At 45.9% G+C, this 21510-nt stretch overlaps 1 non-coding gene and 1 pseudogene across 1 annotated transcript, besides 3 other annotated features; both read left to right on the forward strand.

Moving 5' to 3' along the window:
- Positions 1–2540: 2540 nt before the first annotated feature.
- MIR4318 (microRNA 4318) lies at positions 2541–2621 on the forward strand. The gene has a single exon (NR_036202.1). It is a non-coding gene; the product is annotated as a microRNA 4318 (primary transcript).
- Positions 14107–15063: an enhancer, noted in NCBI's record as "OCT4-NANOG-H3K27ac-H3K4me1 hESC enhancer chr18:35248664-35249620 (GRCh37/hg19 assembly coordinates)". NCBI's record gives its function as "activates a minimal SCP1, AML or CMV promoter by ChIP-STARR-seq in naive H9 embryonic stem cells {active_cell/tissue: H9 hESC(naive)}" and the evidence as "EXISTENCE:reporter gene assay evidence [ECO:0000049][PMID:30033119]".
- Positions 15064–16018: an enhancer, noted in NCBI's record as "H3K27ac-H3K4me1 hESC enhancer chr18:35249621-35250575 (GRCh37/hg19 assembly coordinates)". NCBI's record gives its function as "activates a minimal SCP1, AML or CMV promoter by ChIP-STARR-seq in naive H9 embryonic stem cells {active_cell/tissue: H9 hESC(naive)}" and the evidence as "EXISTENCE:reporter gene assay evidence [ECO:0000049][PMID:30033119]".
- Positions 18101–18579, forward strand: RPL12P40 (ribosomal protein L12 pseudogene 40; annotated as a pseudogene).
- Positions 19484–20683: an enhancer, noted in NCBI's record as "P300/CBP strongly-dependent group 1 enhancer chr18:35254041-35255240 (GRCh37/hg19 assembly coordinates)". NCBI's record gives its function as "activates an origin of replication core promoter dependent on BRD2, BRD4, P300/CBP, MED14 and CDK7 cofactors, with strong dependence on P300/CBP, by STARR-seq in HCT116 cells {active_cell/tissue: HCT116}" and the evidence as "EXISTENCE:reporter gene assay evidence [ECO:0000049][PMID:35650434]".

Here is a 21510-nt window from a genome sequence, read left to right on the forward strand (position 1 = left end):
TGAGTCTCTTATCTTGGTATGGAAGGGTTTTTTTTGTTTTTTTTTTTTTTTGTTTTTTGTTTTTGTTTCTGTTTTTCCTTCCTTCCTTCCTTCCTTCCTTCCTTCCTTCCTTCCTTCCTTCCTTCCTTCCTTCCTTCCTTCTTTCCTTCCTTCTTCCTTCCTTCCTTCTTTCCTTCCTTCATTTCTTCCTTCTTTCTTTTCTTTTCTTTCTCTCTTTCTCTTTTTTTTTTTTTCAGGGTCTCACGCTGTCTCCCCGGCTGAAGTGTTGTGGCATGATCTCAGGTCACTGAAATCTCTGCCTCCAGGATTCAAGTGATTCCCATGACTCAGCCTGCCTAGTAGCTGGGTTTACAGGCGCCTGCCACCACGCCTGGCTAATTTTTGTATTTTTAGTGGAGACAGGGTTTCACCATGTTGGCCAGGCTGGTCTCAAACTCCTGCCCTTAAGTGATCTACCTGCCTTGGCATCCAAAGTGCTGGGATTACAGGTTTGAGACACTGCTCCCAGCCTGGAAGTATTTTTTCATGGCTGTGGTAGCAAGGAAAGAAAGGAGAAGTGGGATTCTCAGGACAGTTCCTAATGCCTCCTCCAGGTGGGAACTTGGAATGTTGACTGACTTCTTCCTGTGCCTTTGAAAAATCATTTAGGGGCAATAATAATAACCCATCACTAAAGTTGAAACCCAGTGATCTCAGCTGCCCCTATCCTTCCAGCCTCCAGGAGGCTGACCTGAGGTTCCTGATTTTGGGGCACCCCAAGCCAAGCTGGGAGTCAAGCTCTGGGGGAAGGAGAAGAGGCTTTCAAAGGCATTGTGTGGGGGACCTGCCCTGAGTACTATTTCTTTCTGACATGTGCCTGCACATGCACCATGGCAAGGTGAGAATAACCCCAGAATCCTGCCATGGGGATTCTGACTACACCAGGCTCTGTTCTGGAAGAGGAGGAAGAGCAAGTTGAGGTTCTGAATGTTAATTCTGGTATCTTTTTCTTAGCTTCCTAAATAGCCCCAGTGGACATGACTGATTCTCCATTTGGATTTCAAGTACTTCCCTATACCGGTTTCCCTTTGTCTTCAACTGGACAATTTCTGATGCCTGAGAGTAGGGACCTGCATTTATCTTCTTATTTCTCCCCACAGGGCTGCCCCCAGAGGCTTCCCCTTCTCCTTCTCTCAACTCAGTCCTCCCTGCCTCCAGGGATTACTCAAATACTTTCCCAGGAAGCATCTGTGGGCTAATTCAACACAAGCTCATCTTCCCTGCTTCTGAAGTATGGCATTGGCAGTGTGAACTGATCACACAAAAGCCTGCATTGTTGTCTAATTTGTTCCCTGTGTTTCTTGTCCTTTCTTTGCTTGGGAGCTCTCCTAGGAATTTGCTCTTCCTTTGATCTCTGCCAGATCATCCAGCACAAGGTAGGGCACCTTTTATTTATAAGAAACTTCAATGAACAATCAACAGTACCCTAGGGCATCAAGATCAAAACTGATGATCACCTTTGGAGCCTGACTGGGAGAATTATATTGCTTCTGGCAGCAAGAGAAACCTCTGGATGAGAAGCTAGTTTTAGAGGAAGATGGTAACATTTTCAACACAAGGAGCTTGAGAAGTATGTAGAACATGCAGATGCAGAGTTCTACAACAAGATGGGAGCGGGGCCTGCCGATGCAGGACTCAGCATAGGGTGGAGATCTTCACTCCTATCAACACATATTCACTAAGCATAGCATTGGACCACTCTCAAAACAGTTGGGACCATGTATCAGGCATAAAAACTCTCCTCAGAGAGCAGCTAATCTCTGCAGAAGATGAGACATAGATGTGCTAAATAATAACCTAAGATACTTTAAGTAAAAGTACAAGAAAACAGAAGTGATGTGACTCCCAGTACATAATTAGTTGACATGTGAGAGATACAGTCGTTAAGTCCTATTTATTCCAAAGAAGGAGAAAACATTTTAGGCTGGGGAAATCCAAGTACAAGCTTGTGCTGAATCTTTAGGAATAGGAGAAAGGACGAGAAAATTCCAGATGGGTGTAATTCATTAGCAAAATGGAGAGGTGGGGGTGCGCAAGTCAACTTTGGATATATTCAGAAATCTCACAGATTCCAATCATCTGCAGTATAAGGCCATAGTTATCTATCTATCAAATTTTAACAAACTGTTTCGAAAACTGGTGTGGCGTTAAGGCACAGGTGCCTGGGTTATAAGCCTTTAGTCTGTCTCTACACCTGCTCCACCACTTACTAATGACCTTGAATAAGACACTTAATATTTCCAAGTCTCTATTTCCCATCTGTATGACCAATACCCTGTCTGTGTTAAAGGGCTTTTGTGGAGGTCCAGAGAAAACATCTGTGAAAGTCCCCAAAACGCAGCAGTTAGTGGATGTTGGTTATTATGATTTCCAACTTTCTTTGATACACACAGTGCCTTCTCTATTCTCTGAAGGCCTAAAGCCCCTATTCTTGTATCATACCTTCTTACCTACCTGTACCATCTGTTATTACCTCTTAATTCCTTCATGAGTTTGTAGGAGCTTCTTAATTATGTCATAAACCCACTGTGGACAAGGGCCTTGTCTTAGACAGTCACTGTGGGTACATGCTAGGTGCTCAAAAACTTGTTTCAATGATTGATTTCTATATTCATGAGGATCAAAATAATCCCAAAGGAAACAGATCTTGGGGTTGACATTGACAGATGGGTAAGTAATGACAGGTAATGTTCAAAGGACAGAATGCCTGGTGAGGGCAATGATGTGAGATTGTGGCAGATTTTTATTTTTACTTTTTACTTTTCTGAATGCCTAATTCCCCCAGAACATTCTACCAGGTTTTGAAGTTGTTTATCGCCCTGATACTTTGTGAGAAAATCAAATGAAACAAAAACCAAAGGAGAAAATATCCATCCAACAGCTGGACAGCTCAGTTATTTTTAGGGACGGGAAGAGAAGTCAGTGTTTGGGACTCAGCAAAACATCCCACTCTGTTTGGAGTTGACCAGCCCTTGGAAATGCATGGCTCTAAGCATTTTCTCAGCTGCAACTCTCCAGCACATGTGTATTTGAAGGGAAACTTAATCCATCTTTTTCTGGTTCACTTATACTGAAGTCATCAAAAAAGCTGTTGACATGTCCTTTGCATGGCCCTGTTCTCTGTGAGTTTTCAGGAAATACCAACATAATCTTGAGGTCTTTTTGGTATCCCAGGGTTCTTGGGTTTTGTCTTCACTGGGAACACAGGGAGAGTGGAGAATGCTTTGAACTAAAGTCATTCCAAATTTGCAAAGCTCTGCTCTTCCCTCCAGGAGTCTCAGTGGCTCCCAGAGTCTGAAAATCTTGGAAAAAGAACAAAGTTAGAAGCATCTTCGAGATCTTAGATCTCCTGTCCTTGTTCCTAGCAGAGACTGAGGGATGGCCCAGGAGAGGGAGAAAGTGTTTCAGAGGCAATTTGGCCAGGAGACTAAGTTCAGGACAAAGAGAGTTTTGATTCCAGACAGTGTGACCTTGAGCAAAAGCAGTTCTTTTTTTTAATTCTTCAATTCCCCCAAATGTGGTAGGAGAGCGATATTGCAATTCTTGATCTCCTAGATATGGCTTGTGTGGTTAATGTGTGGTTTGTGACTTTAAGAAACAAAAATATCACAGTAAGAAATTATTGTTTTCCAGATACACAGATGGAAGTCCTGATCCTTTTGGTGATGTGTCTTCTGGGTATCCCATCTCTAGCACTGGGTGTGGACAATACTGAATTGAGCTTACTTTTTAGGCTTAGTGAGAGGTCCAGCTTGGGTGTGTAGCCCAAGCCCTGAGTGATATTAACTGATCCATAAAGGGAATGAGTGTTTCATAGCTGAGTCCCCTAGCCTCTCAGCTCAGGATGCACATTTGGGCAGGCATGGAAGGAGATTTGTGTCCCGTCCTGCATAGACATAGCTAATACCTCAATAGAGGAGAAAAATGTGTACACTCTCCCTAAAATTAAAAGCTGAGAAGGAACTTGGGAACTCACCACCTCATTTTTATTTTAAATATGGGGAAAATTAGACTGCAAGAGGTAAGATAATGTGCTTATCACTTACTGAATATTGATTTTGTGCCAGCCCTATGCCTAAGTGTGATCATATTTAGCAGCACTGGATGGATGATATTATTACCCTCATTTTGCAGATGAAGCAACTGGGGTGCAAAAGAGGGTGATAGCTGGTTCAAAGTCACTCAATGAGCATGTTGTGAACTAGAATTTGAATTCAGCTCTGCCATACTTCAAAGATCAACTGACATACAGAGCTAGCTAGTGAGGGACCAGAACACACAGAGTCCTGGATGTCTCAGCCAGGGAGTATTTCAAGATGTAGACATTGGGTTGTACCTGCAGCACGTATACTCTTTTATCTACAGCACCTGCCACTGTCTGGTCCACCATCAAGTTAGCTGCCTGGGGAAGAAACCTCCACTGCAGAGGTAGAGAGGGTGATGAGAGGCTTTGAGAGGTGGAGGTGGAGCTGAATCTCCCATCTTAGGGAAATGTGCAGGGGTAGCCCCTGTGGGTAGTCTTCCAAGACTCCAACATGCCCATCATGGGAGAGCAAGTAAGCTGAGGTTTAGAAGCCAGCAGACAGTAATGGTAAGTGAATTCAAGGAAGAACCACCCCAGTACCATATCTGTAAAAGATATTTGTCACTTTCCATCTTGGTATCTACCCTTTTTTGTCATAACATACTAAAGAGTGGGGGAGTAGGAGGTATCCTAAGAGTAACAGAGCTCCCTCTCTCATCTCTTTGTCCTTTGAGCCATGGCCTGGCCAATGCTGGGGAGGGGAGGAAATGACACTTATATTGGATATACCATGGAGTTCTAAGTAAGCCTCCATTCATTTGTACTTTTTAGTATTTGGAAGTGATTAGACAGCAATGAGATGTGCGTAGGTCATCATTAAGGATGGAAAAGGGAATTTAACAGGACCTGTTTGAAAACAGGGATTGGAGAAAAAGCAAATCATTTCATGTCTGTGCCCTGTGAGTTCTGGATGCTTAATGGACAGATTATCTTTCTGTTTTTCAATCCATCTGTCATATGGAGGGAATATAAAAATGGAACGTGTCCTTAGATAAGATTCTTCTCTTCCTCCTCTCCTCTTGAGCACATTTTGCTTGTGTCTGCACTCTCTGGTTTTGGCCAGAAGAAAAAGCCCAAGACACTAAGACATTGCCACATTGGCTATTATTTCCAGATGAACTACTCAGTACCAGAATGGCTAGACATGGAGGAAGTGGAAGAGAGAGAGAGGAAGAGAGGGAGGGAGACTGTCCTCACAAATGTCAGGGAGAGAAAGGGACAAGACAGAGTATGAGGGACAGAGGGAGTGGGAAGTGCTGCAAAGGGAAGAGAAGGTGGGGGTGGGGGGAAAGAGCCTGGAGAGAGGAAGGCAGTGGGGGAGGGAGGGAGGAGGGCAGAGTGAAAAGAGTGAAAGGGTGAGAAGGGGGTTTTGGGGTCAGAGCCAGAGCAGCTTCCTGCCAGGCCTGCTGCCCAGCAAGCTGCTGGAACATCTGCATCCTGGTGGGGGTGTTTCCAAATGGAGCTGCCTCTTCCTCTGACTTCTTCCATATGCATCTGTGTGCCTGCCCAGTTAGGCCTTTCCCAAAGTGCTTGCTTTCCCCTTACTAATCAGCCACTTGTGCCCAAACAGCTAACTCAGCTCTGGACATGGTCAATCCTGGGTTCAGCCAGGAGAAGAAGCGTTGCTATTGGGCATCACAACTCCAGGCTCAGGAGGAGCAGACAGCTGTACTAATGCTCCCCTGACCTCTTCTTGAGTAACTCTGGGGTTATTAAATGAACACAGAAATAGGAGTCAGGGTCAGGGGGACAGAGTCCTGTGTGGTCTTGGCAAGTTGTGAAACTTCTCTGAGAGTCAATCCCATCATCTGTAGGATAAGACACTGAAGACCCTTCTTAATGATTTTGGGAGAGATTGTAGGTCATGCAATCTTATTGTAGTATTCTTGATTATCTGACTTCTGAGCTTGGATAGAGAGAGTTTAGATGGAAGTTGGAAGCTGTTATTCCCTCCTCACCAACTTTCCTCTTTCTGCAGCATCTCAGATTTGTGGTAGGGTCTGACTGGAGGAGTCTCTGAAATTATGTCTATCCTGGAGAGGGGCTACCAGATGGTTTCAGGTGTCAGAGCCTAACTCCAGCCCTGAACAAGAGGGAAAACATGTCCTCTAGACTTCCCTAGCCACTGTGGTGCCCTCTTAGTTTCTTCTGGGGTCCCATCCCCGGGTGTCACCCTCAGGCAACTGCACCACTGCCTCTCAGCTGACAGATAATTAATCACCGTGAAGCTGTCCCATGACCTAGAAGTTTCTAACTGCTATTAGATGAAAAGAGGTTCTTGTGCAGAAAAGAGATCTTGTGCAAATCTCACTTGGAAGTTCACTGTCCTTTTCCCAGATGGCCCATCTCCTGGTTCTTCCTTTCCTACCCTTAGCACCTTCTTTTCCCTGACTCCCACGGTGCCTGAGGACGATAGCCTTGGGGACAGAATCCTGGGCAGCCGGGTGGGGCTGGGCCACCTTTCATGGCCTTACTTCTGTGGGCATGGAGGGGGGTTGCAGGGGATCCACTCAACCGCTTGCTGAGAACAGGAGGCAGAAATGAAGGCTTGGCTGGTGGGAGATGCCTGGGAGGACACAGACAGTCCTCAGCTCCTGTTGTTGGATGTGGCCAGGGCAGCTCCTGTCATTCATCTTCTGGGGCTATCCACAGTGCTAGTGAAGCTGTCCTCTTGTAGAAGCAACCCCTCCCACCTAGGCTCTCCACTCCCACCCACTCTGCTAAGATTCTCCCCAAGGGGCCAGTGATTGGATAGGAACACTGTGCTCCTCCCTTGCAGCCTTGCAGGTTTATGGGGATCTAAACTAAGGAGACGAAGGTCCCTTTCTGGAATTTTGGGCCTCCATCTGCAGTGGCACCAGGCTTAAGTTCATATGGCCTCTTGAAATCAACCATTTTTAGGCCCTGACTTGGCCTCCTAAAAGCTCCCCGCTGACTCATGGAGTTAATGTGTCCGCAGGTGAGCACAGGAGACCTGGGAAGGTATGTCTAGCACTGAGGAAGCTCTAGCAGGAGATCCTGGAGTGGGGGTCATTGTGTGAGATTTGCTACCCCCAGGGGCAGCACAGGTTGAAATGTAACTAGATGCCACGGATATACTTATGAGTCCATGGACTATAAATCCCAACCACCAAAGTGGACCTTCAAGGCAGGAATGAGATTACCATTTGTTGAACACCTACTATATGCCATTTGATATTCATCTACCCCTCACAACAATCATAATAGGTAAGCATCATTGCTCCTCCTTAAAGATGACACAGGGGCTCAGAAAGATTGTGAAATTAGCCTAAGATCACATGTAGCACAACCGGCAGAGCTGAGACTTGAACCTGGTTAAGGGGGAACAGGCATGCTTGGCTCTTGACTGCTCTGGGGAGTGGGATGAGGGAGACACCCGGGCACTGACCATCCTCTGCTCCCCGTGGGCTCCCCACTACCTCCCAAGTCCAGTTCTTAGGACTCTTCAAAGCTAGCGCCAGGCTCAGTCTTCTGGGAAAGTCACACATACCTCCTTCTTGCACCCTCTCTTCTCCACTGGTCATCTGGAGTTACTACAGGCAGGAAGAATTGAGTAAGTTAATTCTTCACATGGGACTCTTTCCTCTGCCTGGACTGAGGCTCCTGGCTGGCCTAGATGGGGCCTTTTCTGCTCTCCCTCCCTGACACTCTTGCCATGGTCCTTGCAGAGAGAGTAACTGAGTAACTAGTGTAGCTAAGCCACAGGGACTTTTTCTAGGCTCCCATTTGCCTGGCTCTGAGATAAACCAGCTTTGTCTAGCTGGATCCTTACTGAGCACAACAGAGCGCCTCACCCAGAGGAATGGCCGTTCACCCACATGGTCCTCACGTGCCACAGACAGGTGCAAGTTGCTGCTCTTAGCGCAAGAACTCTGTCTCCCACCTGGGCCCCAGGGAACTTGTCAGCCGTTCCTTCCTTTACCCGGATCTATATATACTGAGGACATGGTGCGGGTGGGTAAACGGAGTCACATTCACTATGACCACTTGCTGATGCACACAAACAACCTCTGCTAAGACACTTAGCTTCTCAGGTGGTGTTTCGTAGGCACTTTCCTGTAAGCAGTGATAAGTTAAGGGTGTCAGAGAATGCTTCACTACCCTGTGTGTGACATGCTCTTGGTGAGGTCACAAGTAGGACTGTCAGGCAGTGTTTTTGGTGAAGTGGCTTTTTCTTGATTTTCCTTATAGCCCTCTTTCCCCCTTCGACCTGAGACATGGCCGGAATGAGAGGCATGTATGAGGGACAAGTGTCATGCTGGCCTCAAAATGACCTTCCTTCACTGACCACTCTTGCTCTGTCCTGGATTAAGCTTGGTTTCCTGACTTCTGCTTATTTTAAGAGGATTATCTTAAATAGGCACCTAGTGGAATTACCCTATCTTGTTGCCAGACCTGTCTCGATCCCAGCAAGCTAAGATGGAAAGCCTGCTTCTCTAAGCCCATTGCCTCTTTATCAAGCCCTCTGATGAGATCAGGTGCATTCAGGGTGATACCGCTGTGGACTATTAAGTCCTCTGTGTTCCTTCTGCCTCTGGGCCTTCATTGTGTCTTCTCTCTTGCCCGAAGCAGGTAGAAATGCATGCCTGAGTTGTGATGTCTGGGGGCACTTTTCCTCCACTCGAACCACCTAAATTCTACTTCTTCAAGACCTAGCAGAATCCTCACTGCCTCAAGAAGCTTCCCTTGATTATTCAGTTCTGCACTGTAGTTTCCTTGTTCAACTCACACTGCCCTTAGTCCAAACCACCCTTACCATCATGTGACCACTTTATCCTCACATTATTCTTTCTTCGTCCACAGTGGATGCCCTTGAGTATGTAATTCACTTCTCTTGCTTCTCTCAAAGAACTCACTGCTTGGCCAGTGCTCAGTGAATGTTTGAGGCCTGATTAAAAGCCAGGATTTGGCTGATGTGGGGCTGGGAGGTCCAGGTGGCCCAGCTCCCACCAATGATTAGCTCCTTTCTTTGTGCTGCCCTAAAATCCTGGCTTGGTTCATTAAGATGCAATAAGAAGTCTGGGACACTGGCATCTTCTGTTTACAAGCCACACTTCATTCGGTCCTGCCCTTGTTCCCTCAGCCCTGCAAGCACAAGTGTCTGTCCATCCCTTCCCGGTGTTGCCCTCCACCTTTAAGAGGGAAAATTTAGATGTATGGATTTTGGCAAAGGCTTAAAACTGGCAAGAAATAAAAAATTCAGCATACCCTTCTGCATATTTTATAACTCAGTCTAATGAAGAAATAATCCAAGATGGCACCTGCTAAGAAAACTTAGTTTATTGAAATATGACTGTAATATAGGAAAGATGGCTAATGCACTAGGCTGTGCGATATTAATGCCCTATACTTCAGCTGGTGTGTTTAAAAGAAGTCTCTCATGTATTTTATTTTATTTTATTTTATTGGGAGCCATATCATTAGCTTTTAAAGACATTGTGAGTGAGAGAAGAAAAGAGATTTGGACTATTAAAAAAAAAAACAACAACAAAAAAACCCTGAGCAACTCAACCTGCCTTTCTCTACAAATGAAACAAACCAAAAAAATATATATATTTTTTTCATAAACATTTTTTTTTCCGGCTGGGATATTAGGACAGTATATTAAATTCCCCCAAAAGGAGGCCCTAGAACTATTTACATAATAATGTCTCCACTGTGGTTGTGACAGATGGGCTTCACTGATGCAGACATACTGTTAGGGGCTTAGCAATAGATTAAAAAAACCACCACAATACTGTATAACATAATAAAAGTGTATTGTAATGTACATCATAACTTGTGGCCAAGGTTAAATTTGCAGTCGGAGTATGAAAGTCGTATTCCATTATACAAAATAGATGTTACACAGAAAAGCATTAAAGATGAGTTGACTCAACCATTTATTTTTAGTTTATATTTTATTCTATTTTCCTTGGCCTTATTTATGCAATATATTTTTAATCATATGAAATGGCATCGTTATGTGTCCCTTACCCCCACCTTGGACTGAGGGGCAGCCCGAGATCTTCAGACTCTCCTGGCTTTGTGGCTTCACATTCCAGGGGGCTTCAGGCTTTCCTCTGTTGGAAAATGGCTGATCATGTGTTTCTGTTTTTGCTTCATTCGGAGCTGCTTGGCACAGCTAAGGCCAGCAGTGGCCTCTGAGGGTGGCCTCTTTTGGTTTATGTGGAATCTTTGGAAACAAACTGTAGTTCTAGGGGCTTTCCCCATCCCATCAAGGGGTGACAAGGACATGAGATGTAAGTAGTCCCATTGAAGGTGGTCTATGAATAAAAGGTGACTGGGTTTTTCTTGTCCAGGACTTGACCACTGATTTCAGCTCAATGGTTCTGGTCCCCTGAACTGACCCTGAGTCTAGCAGCATGCTCTCCAAAGGGGAAGTAGCGTTCACTTTAGGCCAGCATGCTGATAATATTGTCAGATCCTTAAAGTGAAGAAAAAGTTTGGAGGCATACTTAAGACCCTAGGCAGAAGTTGCCTTTTATAAATAGATTCTCTTTCCAGTGCCAGCTTAAGAAGTTTGGATTATGCTGTTTAAGGGAGGTGGCTTTTCCCTGCAAGGACTCAATCAATGCAGGCCCCAGATTCCACTCCAATTAAATGATATTAACCTTGATTTAAACAGCCTTTAATTCTGATATCTTTTGTTTTGGTCAAAGTCAGCAATCTCTCAGAAGATTCCATAGAGAGCATAGCCTCTCAGTGTTCCATGGCAGATTTGGGAGTTTTAGGCATGCCTTTAACTAGAGGCCCTCCCTTGGGAGCCAGGAAGACAGAAGCATTAGAGAGACTCCCAGCCCAGGTGGGGAGCCCGGCTCAGGGAATTCAGTCTGGGCTCAGCTGGGGATGCCGGGTGTTTCTGTGGTGGGCAGACCATCAACCCTGGGGGGCCCAAGAAGCTGACAGCTGGTGACTCCTTTTGGGAGTAATCAAGCACCATCTTCTAGAAGAATTCTGTCCTGAATTCTTATTGCTGCAGATAATGGAACCTCAAGCATAATCTGAGCATACCTTCAAATAACCTGCATGTGGAGTTATTTGAAGTACTAGAAAAGCCCTATTGTCCATACTGAGACTCCAATAGAAATGTAATGTGAGCCACATACATAATTTAAATGTATTAATATCCACATTAAAAAAGTAAAAAGCAGCAGGTGAAATTAATTTTATTAATATACTTTTAATATATGTAAAATCTCCAAATTTTAACAAAATGTTATAAAAATTATTGAGATATTTTACATCTTTTTCTTCATGCTAAATCTTTGAAATCCCATGTTTATTTATACTTAAAGCATATTGTAATTGGGATGAGCTTTGTTTCAAATGCTCAGTGGTTGCACGTGGCTAGGGGCCACCATACCAAACAACACAGGTCCAACGGACCATTCTCCTCAGATGTCTGCTATTGTGGTGGACAAGGAGTAGATTAAGGGATTGTTACCCATTCTAAGTCAACTTTTAAGTGCTTCTGTTTTAATCCCTCATCAAACTTTAGCAACAGTGATTGAATTTCCAAACCTCTTTCCAATCTGGCTGGGGTAGATACGAGCCAAGGATTTAGCATTGCGGATGGGGTTTCAGATACTCAGGACAGTTAGGAGGCAGCTGGAAAGACGCATTACCTAGACGGCCCTGAGCTATGAGGAGAACAAATAGTTGAGATGAGGAGGTAAGTGGTATCTAGGAAAGGCCTGGCTGTCTCACTACTGCTATAGTGAGAAGAGTAGCATTGGGATTGGCTGGCTGGATTTGCTAGCCAGGCTACATGACTTTAGAATAAATCACTAATCTCTCTGAAACTCACCTTTCTTATCTGTAACATGGGGACAATAAGCTCTTTCTTGCTTTCCTCAAAAGAGTATTGTGAAGCTTGAATTATGTAATTCATGGGAAGTGGCTTCTTGTAAACACTACAGCACTGCTACAGAGTTAATTCAAGGGAAGCAGGTTTTATTAAAAGCTCGGCCCAAGTCAGGGAGTGTAGCGGGGGAGGAGGTGCCTCAATTGGAAAGGCAAAACTCAGATGGAAAACAATTAGAGACAGAATAGAATTCTGGAGGAGTGGTTCACACAGACAGTCCAGGAGCAGAAGTGGAGAGAGTGTGCAGTGTGAGCCTAGCAGGATGCAGAGGTTTGGACAGACAGAGAAGGACAGAGGAGAACATTCCTGGTGGAGGGCATAGCACAGACAAAGGCCAAGAATGGACATGAAAAGCCATACACTGGGGGTATTAAGAAACTTCCTGAGTAGGACAGAAATAAAGGGCAGGGAGGGATGGCCCACAGGGTTCCTCCCCTTGGCAGCATCTTTCCTTAGGAATTAACCATCAGAGAGCCAACTTCTGATGCCCTTGTTTTCTGCCTTGCCCTGAAAGTAGGTCACCCATGGATAGATGAGACCATCCCACTTGAGGTAAATATGGAATCTAACCACAGCCATGGTGTGGGTAGCTCTGATAATCACCAGGACGACTCTGGGCAGCTCAGAAAAGCTCTTATCTCAGACCATCTCTCTGCTTAAAGACTTGTCTCAGGAATACAGTTGGACAGAAGCACCAAAAGAAACAAAACTGTTGGACATTTCTAAAGGTCCCAGAAACTTCTGGCTTTCAAGCCAGTTCTTGTTTTAATATCAGGGTGTTTTCCATCATGAATCCACACAATATTACACATCCACACAATTCAGACTCTACCTGCCTGCACTGTAGATGTCCCTTCATTCCCTTAACAAGCACACAGATGTCCACCCCAACACATCATGCATGCAGGCACACATGAACACTCAAAAATCACACATGCCTTGGCAACATAGAGGACAGAACTGCTCTAACTTGAGACCAGTGAATAAATGAAGACTCAAGGCCAAGATGCTGTATGACACTGTTCATCAAACACCCACACAGGTAGTTGTAGAAATGACACTGGGGCATTCGTGTTCCCTCTTCTTTCCTCTCCTGTTAATTCTCCACCAGCTCTAATTATACTTCAAGCTTTGGGGGTCCTTGCTTGCCTGTACCTTTTCTTTCTATTCTTAGGTATGCTTGTTTTCCAGGGTTCAGCTGGGTCCAGAAATGTGGAAGTTAGAAAAGATCATATTACCTTTTGCAAACTGTTTTCACCAGTTTGGGTAAGGAAGAGGAGCTTCAAAAAGTTCCCTCTGCCTCAGGAGACCTCTGTCTTGACCAGGCCATCTCCATTTCCTCTGCACTATTCCTGCCCTGACAAAAGGAATTGTTCTGTTTGAATTTGAATAATGTGCTATTCTCCAGTGTTCTCTTATTGGGCAGAAAACTCAGGCTGTTTCTGGCTGCATCCTCTCTTCCATGTGATCTCTCCATTTAGTGCAGTGCTAGGCCCAACTCAGTAAGTACAGGATAGATGGTTGGATAAACACAACGTTGTTAGTTTGTACATTAATTCCATTTGCCAGTGAAATTTTAAGCCCTGGTTTTGTCCAGAGGCCTGACCCCCAACCTGGAAAATGGCAAACCCAATTCCAGACAAATTCTTAACCCCAGCCCTGACTCCTGCAGCCATGATGACAGCGAGATGCACCAGAAGCACCACCATAGGTTCACCGAAAGGACCCATCAAAGGCAACCGATGCAAGAATAGTCCCAGTGGTGCTGGAAAAATAAAGACAATGGAACAACTGATTAATTCAGGAGAGAACATTGTGCCACTGCCTATTCTCTGACTCTCCTGGCAGCTGGGGTTCAGCCTTGCCCACAGAGTGTTCCTTAAGAGCAAGGACTGAAGTCACTTTTGGGTTCCAAGACTAAATTTCACCTCCAAAATTTAGATTCTGGTTAATTTGCACCAAAGTGGGAGGGCTACACAGACCCCAGGGGTCCCAATGACTATGACATTATGACTCCACTCTTCAGTAGGGGAAACTAGCATGTACTGTGTGCCATCTACGTGTCAAATATTGTGCCAGATATTCTCAATTGCAGGATTTTGCTTAATGGGTTTCACAACAATCCATGACTTGGGATTATTTTGGACAGAACTGAGAGGCTCCCTAAAGTAAGCAGCTCACTGAGTGCCACACAGGTGGCTGCCAAACACCCAAGTCTGACATCTTTGCCCTGCACCAGTGGACAGACTTAGAATGGAGAAGAATGAAACGGACCAAATTGCTATAGAATAGAGTAAAACACACAGGATGGATTAGAATGGGATTAGAAGCATTTCCCATTTCCTCTTCTCTCCTCCCCAAAGGGTCTGATAAGCTCTTCCCACACCGAAATGGGACAACCCTCTCCAGATGATTTGCATTTTAAAGGGAGGTAAGCAGTTTGACAGGAAGTATCCCCAGTGGAGACTGGCAGGCACCTAATAGAGGGTGAGAAGCCAGCAAGAGGCTGGGGTGGAGAGGTCCTAAGGACTTGTGAAGCTGCCCTGTGCTTTGAGCCTGTGCTTAAGGCTGTTTGTTCCTGATTAATTCCTTCCTCTGCCAGGCCCACTTCCCTCTGCCCTTTCTGTCTGGCTCCTCTATTTTCTTGCTTTCTTTTCAGGATTCCGAGTTGCTAGGCAACTCCAGTCTGGAGCTGAGGTTCTCACTGTGTCAAGCAGCTACCACGCAGGGACAGGAAGTCTGATGGAGCCCTTGATTACAGGTGACTGTGCAGAAAAGAAGACAACGGCAGCAACCTTTCCTCATCCCCTTGTTGCCTCCCAGAGACAGAGGGAGTGAACGATCTGGGAGCAGAGCGTTGCTTAGGCCATTTGCCATTTCCCCTTCCTGTTCTGCTCTCTCCTCGCACCAGCAGAACCTCCTTCCATGCAGCTCCCAGAATCCTTGCTCTGGCCTTCTACTGCCCTCACGCACACCCACACAGGCCCTTAACCCCTCACGTGCAGCTGCCCTCAGCTATTCTCCGGTTTAGGGGCATCACACCTCCACGGCTTAACCTCAGCAAAGCGTCAGCAGGCCTTTGCAGGGGTAGGGAATGCAGGACCCCGCAGTACCTACAGACGGAGAGGCAGGCGCTACTCCTGGCACGTTTCCCGTGTGCGCAGGTGGCCCAGGGGAAGGGGTGACTGCTCGCCGTTGCTCCGAGCTTGTCTCTGGGCCCCGGAGGGCAGTGGGAATGCCACCCTGAGCAGACGTGAGACTCACAGGGCATCCCCAGGCGCACTCTAGGCTTCAGTCGTGCACACGTACACATTTACTGAGCCTGTACCGTGTGCCAAGTGCTGGGGATTCCGCAAGCAAGAAAACATTCGGAGTCTCTGACTTCACAGAGCTAAAATTCACACGGGAGGAGGCGGTCGGCACATAACAGACAACTAGAGAATGACGCGAGTTGAGATGGCGTTTTTGACAGCTCCCTTCCAGAGGAAACAGTATTGTTCAGCGTTGGAGGGCCTGGGTTCCCTCCAGCAGTCCCCACCCTTCCATGAGGGCCAAGGCCCTGGAGCACCTGAGAGAGTGGCTGGCCTCCCGCGACCCCCACTGTGCGGCAGCTTCGGAGGTAGGAGTGTGATTGGCTCTGATCTGACGAAACCAGCCTCCTTATTGAAAGTTGTGGTTGTCAGTCTAATGGCGCTCTAGAAAGCTCGTGATCTAGACCTGGCCAATCAGAGCACAAGGATTAGTTAAAGCAGGGCACATGATCTTAGGATGGCCAGTCAGAGGCCAGCCTTGCACTTCGGAAAGAAGGAGCTCTCCTTAGGCTGGGAGGGGCCAAGCCGCTGGCCCGTGAGCCTGGGGCAGCTCTGGACTGTGCTTGCTGTCCTTGAGGAGAATGCAGCCAGCCCAGGGCAAATCAGAGCCAGGCAGGTAAGAGAAACGGCTGGGCCTGAGGCCAGAGCGCCTTCCGACCTTTGGGTTTCACAAGCCAATACATTCTTTAAAAATTTTAAAAATGTAATACTAAGCTAGCTTGCATCGGTTTTCACTACTTGGTGCAGTATGTTTCTCTATCCATATATCTTCATCACTTTTCCCTTCCTCTGGGTCCCAGGTTTCCAAGGCTAGCCTCCAGAGTGAGGAGTCAGAGCTTAGACTAAGCATTCCTTAGTCAGAGCCCTGTTTCAGGCCAGGTACCACCTTCTTCCCTTTTCTTTTTGTTAAAACACACCTGTTCTGTGTTCCGTCTCTTTAGCGTCCTCCCCTCTGCCAGTGATCATTTGATTAAGTTACTCAGGGTATTGATGGCTACGAATTGCTCCCGATATCAGTGATCCTGTGTGGTCTTTTTACATTTGGACCATAGTCCTTCATGCCATAATCCATGGAACTGGATACCTAATAGTGGAAGTGATGCAGGTGGGGGGCAGGGAAGTGCTGGGTAGAGATGGGCGGGGTCCCTGGCGAGGGTGCCACCCTCGAGCTCGTGCCCATGGACCTAAGTGAGGATAGGAACTCCTGAGTTTTTTTCACCCAAATGTTGCATTTTCCAAGACCACTCTGGCCTGCCATGCACCCCATCCTGTGGCTGTAAAAACCCCGAGACCCTAGCGGGCACGCACACAAGTAGCTGAACGTCGAGAGGAACACACCAGCAAAAGAACATACCAGGAGACATTGGCAGGCCATGGACTGCGGAACGATGCGGATGCCAAGGGGAACTCGGTAGGAGGAGAGACCGGCCGCTGGGCGGCCCGACTCGGAGGGAAGACCACCTTCCCACTCCATCCCCCTTCTGGCCTCCCCATCCACCTCTCTGAGAGCTACCTCCACTCTGTAAAACCTTGCATCCATCCTCCAAGCCCATGTGTGATCTGATTTTTCCAGTACACTAAGACAAGAACCTGGAATACAGAAAGCCCTCTATCCTCACGATAAGGCAGAGGGTCTAACTGAGCTGATTAACACAAATAGCCTGCAGATGGCAAAACTGAAGAAGCGCACTGTAACACACCCACTGGGGCTTCAGGAGCTGTAAACCCTCAACCCGAGATGCTGCCATGGGGTCAGAGCCCAAAAACGCTCCCCACGACCTGCCCTCTGCCTGCTCCCCCTAGGGGTTTGAGCAATGGGGCACTGAAGAAGTGAGCCACACCCCTGTCTCATGTCCTGTGGGGGATAAGGGAACTCCTGTTTCAGAAGTTCATGCACTGAGGCAGGCTGCTGAAGGGATGGTTTTATAGATGCTCCTCCTCCTAGTCCCTCTGAAGTTCGTTGGCTGGGTGTTCAGTTACTCTGCCTGTGTCCATAGCTGTGGGCCAACTCTCCTGGCTCACAGTGAAATGCCTGGGCCTCTACCAGAGGTCATGTCCTTCTCATAGAAGGCAGACGAAGTCTCTGAAAGGAGAGTTTTGGAAACGGGCATCCAATAAGTCTGAGTCCTGGAGTGGCCTTGACTAGTCAGTGATCTTGCAGGGCCTCACTCTTCTCATTTATAAAATGGAGGTGTTTGATGAGCTGACTCCTCAGTCCTCTTCCAGCACAGATGTCCTGGGTGGGGTATCTGTGTCTCTGAGTAACCTGTGGGCCTTGTGTGTTTTAGGGTGAAAGTGTCCTCATGGGAGAGTGTGAGGCACATTTGAATGGCTACTTTTTATAGTCCACTCACATTTCACAATCTATTCATAATATTCATGCTCCCTTTGACTGGTTTCAGGCTTGTTTGGTGACTTACATTTATTATACACAGGCCAGTAGGTGGGAAGTGTGAGGAGCTGAGCTCCGACAGTTAGAACATCTGGTTTCTAGCCCCAAAGTGGCCATTTTGCAGATAGCTAAGACCTTGAAAGAGATGCTATATACTACTCTGGATCTGTTTTCTCACCTGTAAAATGGGAATGAAATCACTTTTCTTTGCTCACAAATTTGGTTGTGACTTAGAAAACACACTAAATGAAAATGCAATGAAGAGATAGACTGTTTAAAAATGCGACGAGAGCTTTCTGCTTTTGGCTTGGAGGATGCCAAGGTGTAACTTTTTTCAGTCGTCCTGTATCCAGGTTCATGTGACGCTGGCCACATCCACCATTCTGCCCACATTTGACCTCAACAAGATTATAGGCCTGTACCTGAGGTGCACCAGTGGGGAAGTTGGTGCCACGTCTGACCTTGACCTCCTGGATCTATCTGTTTTCAAAAACGGTTGGTGATAATATCACCCAAAGCAACCAGTGACTAGAATGGTCTTAGTATTACAGTGGAACTGACCATTCAGAACAGACAGGCCAAATTGAGGTGGTACTTTTTGTCTCTGTCCTGATGATCAAAGTCCCCAAGGAACCAGTCAGAGACAGAAAGAAGCAGAAAAACATTAAGCACAGTGACAGTATCACTTTTGATGACATTGTCAAGATTGCCCAACAGATGCAGCACCAGTCTTTAATTAGAGAACTCTGGAACCATAAAATAGCTTTGGAGTACTGCACAGTTTGTGGGCTGTAATGTTGATGGCCACCACCTTCATGATATCATAGATGACATCAACAGTGATGCAGTGGAATGCCCAGCTAGTTTAGACCTATGAAGGAAAATATTTCCATAAAGGATCATTTGACAACCAGGAAATAAAAATACCAGGAGAAAGTGTCTAATTTTGCAAATACACTTGGGAAAATAGTATTAGTCTTCTGCCACTCCCAAGGAAGCAGATGGTGCCAAACTCTTTCTCTGACAATGGGAGGTGAGATGGGGACTCAGAGAGGAGAGGATATCAGCTTAGCCTCACACAGTAATTCTCAGGACTGAGGTGCCGTCTGCTGGCAGAGCAGGAGGCTTTCCCCTTGGAGCCATGTTGGCTTGCCCTCCCCCTCATTTCCAGGTTGGAGATTTGAGTCAGAGATGAGGCAAATGCTTAGGCAAGGAAAAATGTTTTACCAGCTTGCTCCGCAGGGAAAGAGTCCGTGTTATGATATGAAGCTGAAAATAGAGTGCCTCAGGAAAGAAACTACCAACCAAAGACTATCTCCTGGTGGAGCTGTGGGGGCTTCCTCCAGGAAAATTGGGGTTGAAATGAGAACGCAACGGTATTGCCTTGTCATTGATACTCTAAATGCAGATGCTCTGGGCTGGGATTTGGAATCCCTGTCACGAGAAAGGGGTCCCGCTGGAAATGCTTGTTTAGCAATGCTTTCCTGCTGGGGTCTGTGGAACATCCTGACACAGTCCAGGGCTTGAACAAGGGCCAAGGATTTATCCAGAAACAGCAAGCCTTGTACAAAAGATGATCCTGGATTTAGAACAGATGAAAGGTACTTTGAGGGAGTTCAAAGAACGGGCACATGCTCCCCGATGGCTGCTTGCTGGATATTTTGAGAGGCGACTTGGGCACACTTTACCTCCCTACCTCTCCCAGGGGTCTTTTCCAACACGGTTTCTCTCCATTAGTATATTCCAGAGCTCTCGAGCTTGAAGAGCTTGAAAGTCTTAATATGTAGATTTCTGTAGCTGTGGGAACAGGCCTTTCCCAGTTGGGGTTTGTGAAGGCCATTCTGATGATGTTCGTGGTGATGATTAATTGGCAGTAATCATGGAGATAGTGAAAGTAATGAGGCCCACCTGTTTAGGTGTTGGGAAAGATGAAGTAGGTGGGCACATGGTCAGGGTGGGGATAGTGATGGTGATGGGAGTAGCAGGTAGCTCAATCTTAGAAATTTGTTGAGAAACCCAGGGAACTAATCTTAACATAAACTTCACTTTTTTGTCTGGCAAAATAAATTCTTGGCAGAAAAAATATCTACCTCTGGGAAAGGGGAAAGCAAAAATACCTTTTGCTTGTGGTCAGTCCTGTCAAAGCAGATAAAGTATATCAAGCATCATATCACTGGCTTTCTAGGGGGACATCTAGTGATCCTAGAGAAGTTACATGGAGATACAAACTCAAGCTGATATGAGTGGCCACAAAACAAATTAGCAACCTCTAAAATGTCAGATTAATACAAAAAGGTGCCAATGTTGCTCATTTCCATGCTTTGAACAGTGTCTGGAGAGGAGGAATGAGAAAGTCAATCATCAAACTCTTTTTCAGGATCTGACACAATCCCGCGTCTTTGAAGAGTGTTCATGTAAGGCTGTGCTTGGAATAGGTCCTTCTACTTCCCTATTTCCTCCCGTGAGTCATGACATCCTTGCCTTTCTGAGTCACTGGGTCCAACTGGTGAGATGACAGCAATAAGGAAAAGGAACTTTGATGTCTAGATGACTCTTGTGCATGACATTAATGGCACCCCAACGGCCCAGGATAAGTTGAGGGTCTCTGAGGCCTCATAAATGAGGGGAGCAACACTAGTTCCTGGTAATCCCAATTTTGCTAATTACCAAAGTCAGTAAAACATAAAAAATAAAAGATGAACCAAATTTAATCAGTTCCCATCAAGTAAAATTTTGGTGCAATTGTAAAACATGGAAGCTTGTAAAACATAAGAAACTTGATTTTGGAATTTCTACATTTCCCTTCTTTTAATTTTCTCTTTTCTGTGGGCATCCTCACCCACGAGCCCCTGCCTCGGTTGTGCCCAATTACCGCCTGCAGTCCAGGGACAAAATCCCATGAACACATTCATGCAATGCTGACATCAGGCAAAATAACAAAGAGTGCTGCTGCTGATTCTGTTGCACCGTTAATGTGTGCTCCCTCCCCAGGGGAATTTCTTAACAAAAAAGCCTGGAGAGGAAAATGCTTAACCCATGACTGGATCTGGCATGGTGGGTTAGTATAGAAAAGACCCTTTGCTCTCCAAACCACACCACATAGTTGGCACCATGCATTAGGGCTATAGTAATAATGCCTTACTGAGAGGCCTATTTGCTCTTTGGGGCTGCAGTTCTGTAGTTGGCATCCCTATTTACCAAGGGTAGGAAGGTATCAGTATCCTATTACCATATTGGTTACCAAAGCAGGCCCACCTTTTCCTAGGGAGTGGCTTCTTCCTGAGAAGAGGACAAACCAGAGAAGTCAGTTTCTTCACTTGTCCTTTTGTTGTATGCAGTCTTCTTTTTTCAGTAAGTAAAATTTTTCTGCATGCTGAGTAGTTAGGGGTATAATTGAAAGGAATTACACAGAAGGAAATATAAAGTTCATAGATGTATAAAAATTATTTTCTGGTTCTCTTAGGTGAGGAAGTTACTAAGAAGACTTTTTGACATGTACAAGTTTGGATCTAAGGAATAAAGTGAAGGTTAGAACTCTCATTCATTCGTTCATTTGTATAATAAATATACATGGATTAGTTTTTGTAAAGCTAAGGGATTGAGGACTGAAAGTGGTCCAGAGAGGGGATCTTTGAGGCAGCAGAGATAAAAAGGTGGTGTGAATAAGTTCCAGTTATTAATTGCCATGTAACAAATCACCCCAAAACTTATTGACTTAAGATACAGCAATTCTTTTATTGTTATTATCTGTCAAAAGTCAGGCACTTGACTAAGCTCAGCTAGGCAGTTCTTAAAC

Source organism: Homo sapiens, chromosome 18 (genome assembly GCF_000001405.40).
Source record: "Homo sapiens chromosome 18, GRCh38.p14 Primary Assembly".
Lineage (NCBI taxonomy): Eukaryota > Metazoa > Chordata > Mammalia > Primates > Hominidae > Homo > Homo sapiens.